A 4,145-nucleotide genomic window follows, 5' to 3' on the forward strand; every position below is an offset into this window, starting at 1 on the left:
AATGAGATCATGTATGCAAAGTGTTTTGCATGGGCCTGGCACAAAGGTAGTGGCTCCATAACTATGGGTTATTATTAACAACTGCAGTATCAGTACTGGATGGGTATTTTACTTCATTCCTCCTATGTGTGTTCATTAGAGTTTAAAGTGAGCACAGAGGTACTAACAAAATCTCAAGTGACTCTCTGACTCACAGTTTGTATGAAATCATAATTCCCAAATAGGACAATGGATTTGGTGTCAGGAGTTTATACTGCTGTACAAATGCAGCCAAATACTTAGGCCACGCTTTGTCATCAAATTATCAGGGCTCAAATAAATTAGATATTTTTGACATCCTTGTGACAGCAGTTAGAAGTGGCCAAACTCTATTTAACTACAAGACAAATCATTGGCTGTCCAATTTATTTGAGGCATAAATTTTAGCCACAAGGTAGATGATTGTTTGAGGAGCATCATTCATTTGTTCATTAATTCGTTCACCTATTTTTGGCAAAATTCTATATATTAGACTATGGGTTGGCAAACTTTTTCTGTAAAGAGCCAGATAGTGAATATTTTAGGCTTTGTGGGCCAATATGGTCTTTGTTATAATCACTCAGTTGTGCCATTATGGAGCAAAAGCAGCCATAGACAAATGGCATAGTAAATGAACGGACATAGCTGTGTTCCATATGAACTTTATTTACAAAGAAACCCACAACAGGTGGCAGACCAAATTTGACCCATTTGTCAACTTCTGTACTGACACAAGCTCTTGACCTTGTGGAACTTATAGACTGTAGAGGGGACAGCATGGTTATCAACCAGAAGATAATAGATTATGTCAGAAGTATGTATAGTATAGAAGTGGCACCACAGTTGACCACTTTGTAAAATGGGAGGGATGATATTGGCTAAAAGAGAGCTCAGAAACTCACAATTAAGCTTCTTGGAGGGAGGAATTCAGTCACTCACCATCAATCAAAATAACCAGTATTGTTTTACCTTATGGCAGTAGTGTTAAACCTGAAGTATGTTAGACTAAAAAAAATTGCTTTCTTTTAAATACAATAACGCTTGACCATGTTTCTGGAATGTTGGAATCTCTTCAGGAGATTTGTACCACAATCTATATTCATTATGCTGTCATTATCTCAATAATTTCTTTTCATGTGTAAGCATTTTTTTAACCAAAAGGATCTCTTATTAAATTAAGATAAAATGGCAATTAATCTAGAGGATTATCAAAGACAGGAACATGCATTTATCTGGATCTCTCTTTTTAAACATCAATGGCCTGTTAATGTCCTAATATTTAGGAGGGTAACATGATAAAAGGCTTCCTGCCTCTGTCAGCTCATTTTGTATTAACATATTCCTGTCACCAGTTAGGCAATTAACAGAGACTAAAGGAACACTAATTCCTTTTCTGCCAGTGTGCTGGATCAACTTTATTCCTATGAGCTTGCTTCGTGAATGATTCTTTTTGAAAAACAAACATCTTGATATTTCTGTGGAGATGGAGATTAGAGAAAGTTCTTTTTGTATATGACACTGTTGCAAAATAAGTCCTTTAGGGAGATGGAGGGATAGGTAAACTCAAATTTCAGAAAGAGGAATGCTATGAAGGCAAGATGGTTCCTAGGTGGTATCAAATTCTTCATAGATGATTATCATTCTGGAGAAAATAGCTGCAACACAGCTCCCCACTTCATGAATTTATACAGGTCACATGCCAGTCCCCCACATACTACTATGTGGAGTAAAGCTCTTAGAGGTTGATTAAATTCAGTGCTAGTCTTATCCCCTCACATCAGTGTTCAGGAGGGTCTTCTACACTTTCTTTGCCTATTTTGATTTGGTACAATCCTAAAAGTGATTTGGTAAAATCACTTTTACCAAAAGCAAACTGACATTGAACCCATTAGGTAAAACAGGGAAGAATGGAAATGAGAAATTTCCTAAGACCTCAGGAAGGAGAATAGGAAGAACCTAGAGCAAGTCAAATGTCAGGGAGAGTGAGGAGCTGGGATATGATAACAGCACCAAGGTACAGAAAAAAGTTGCACAACTGTCCTATTAACATACCAGATTTGATTTGACTCCATTATATTTCATAAAATAGTTTAGAAAACCCCCAGCATAAAACACCATCATAATTGTAATCATATATTTGGAGATTTAATGTGCACACCATAATGTACCATTAGTTACACAAATAACTAATAATTTGCTAATGACAATATTATGTTAAGTCAGTTTAGGGGCAATTAAAGTGAGTGATATTTACATATGCCTAATGAATCACAGTCGATGGCAGATTAAGAGATTCTAATGAATATTCATCCAGACATTCGCAACCAGCTTCACAGTTTATAAACTGAATTATGGTTGATTTGCCCTTTTAAAAATGAATATGTGAGTATCTTCTGCATGGTGAGAATGAACAATTGGGCCTGACTGTAAAATTTTTTTTAAAGCAATGTACTGGTCAGAACACAAAACATTTTTATGCACTCTCATACCCTCCGCTTCGCTGTTCTTTTTTATATCACAGATCAGTGTTGACGAACTATCTCCATTTTCATTCTAATCTATGACATGAAATATAGAAATTGTTTAGTATAAGATTAAATGGAATACAAGTTTTATGCAGCCCCACTGAGGAAATAATTACAGGTAGTCTTTGCTATTGAAACAGCGAATACACACTCTTTTTTTATGCAACTCAGAAGGCTGTTTTTGTAGCTATACTTTGTCATGATAAAATTGGGGTAGATTTACTATTCTTGCAACTTGGTCATTTAAAACAATAACAAAGCAAACAAAAACACCTTGCTTTGGCCCCGTTAACACAAATTAAGACCAAACAAGGTTATGGTTTGAACATTTACTTTTTCCTCAAAACTATAGCCCTTTCTGCCTTTACTAGCTGTTCCTCATAAATATTGTGAGTTTTATCCCTGTTGCAAAAACAAAGGCCAAACTCTTTTTGTCTCCCTCAAGGCCCCACAATAGGTTTATGACAGACTTGATGCCTATAGCCCCCATTTCTGTTTTACCTTAAATCAGACAATGTTGTTTCTCTGCTATTCAGATTAGAAAGGTATTCATGATTGCCCTTATTATTTCTTTACATGAGGAGATAGAGGCTAGAACCAGAGCATTTGGATGATGGGAGTTACTAAGACAATTGAGTAAGCTTGTGCTTGATGTTTGTTCCATATAAGATGTCAACCTCATATTAACACAATATTAAGTGAAATCTTAAGCATTTTAAAGGCCTACGAGATTAACTTCGAAGCTGACATTTCCATTCAGCATGTTTTCACAATGTACTTTCATAATTTCATTGCATGTTATTAAAACTTTTAAAGGTCAAATAGTATGACACTTGTCAGAATTGATGACTTTTTGCTTTCCAAAAATCATGCCAATTGAGTATATTGCCAGTAGGGTTAAAGAAGGACTTTGTCCACCCAATCTCTCTGTGGCCACCTAAAAGCTCATTGTGATTTCTTTGCGCTGATATTCTATTCATAGAACTTTGAATGTGAATGTCTGATTCCTGGAGATCTGGTGTTCCTGGGTGAGCTTAGTTGGGCAAATTTCTGCCTGCAGCACCTTCAGGGAGGTTTCTAGCAGTGCTTTTGTCATCAGTGAGTCGGCACGCCATTCAGCTCCATAAACCATGCATGCTCTAGGAAGGCAGCACATTCACTGTCTCCATCACACTTTTGCTTTAAAATCTTTTGCTGTTTTTTCTCAGGTGCACGAAATTTGATACATTCAGTCCTCCTCCTCATATCATGCTCTTTTGGACTATGGAAGAATTAGGATTCTTGCTTTCATTCCCAGATGCCCTCACGTGAAATAGATTTTGAAGGCCTTGCTAAGCCCTGAATACAGATGCCCTGATACCAGTTTGTCCTTGTGCTGCTGGAAGCAAGACTAGTCCCATCTCGACTACCCCTCCTCACCCCTGGGTCTTTTGAAGGTTGGGCTGGAAACTACAGATGAGTTTTGAACTATGATCCCTAGGGCTCTGGGACTCTAGTGAATGTCTCACGGGTTTCTGCAGAGAACAGGGTGGTGCCCCACAGGCACTGCCTCAGGCCTCATACTCCAGCTTTCATCTGGGCTTCCTTGGTTCTCTCTGTTTT

At 37.4% G+C, this 4,145-nt stretch overlaps 2 annotated features.

Moving 5' to 3' along the window:
• Positions 1,809–3,028: an enhancer, noted in NCBI's record as "POU3F2 HCT in OLIG3-TNFAIP3 intergenic region, chr6:137977079-137978298 amplified region (NCBI36/hg18 genome assembly coordinates)". NCBI's record gives its function as "activates a mouse minimal Fos promoter in transgenic zebrafish G0 embryos {active_cell/tissue: midbrain}" and the evidence as "EXISTENCE:transgenic organism evidence [ECO:0001131][PMID:20363979]".
• Positions 2,061–2,276: a conserved region, noted in NCBI's record as "conserved region; HCT with multiple POU3F2 binding motifs". NCBI's record gives the evidence for it as "EXISTENCE:sequence alignment evidence [ECO:0000200][PMID:20363979]".

This window comes from Homo sapiens, chromosome 6 (genome assembly GCF_000001405.40).
Source record: "Homo sapiens chromosome 6, GRCh38.p14 Primary Assembly".
Taxonomy (NCBI): domain Eukaryota; kingdom Metazoa; phylum Chordata; class Mammalia; order Primates; family Hominidae; genus Homo; species Homo sapiens.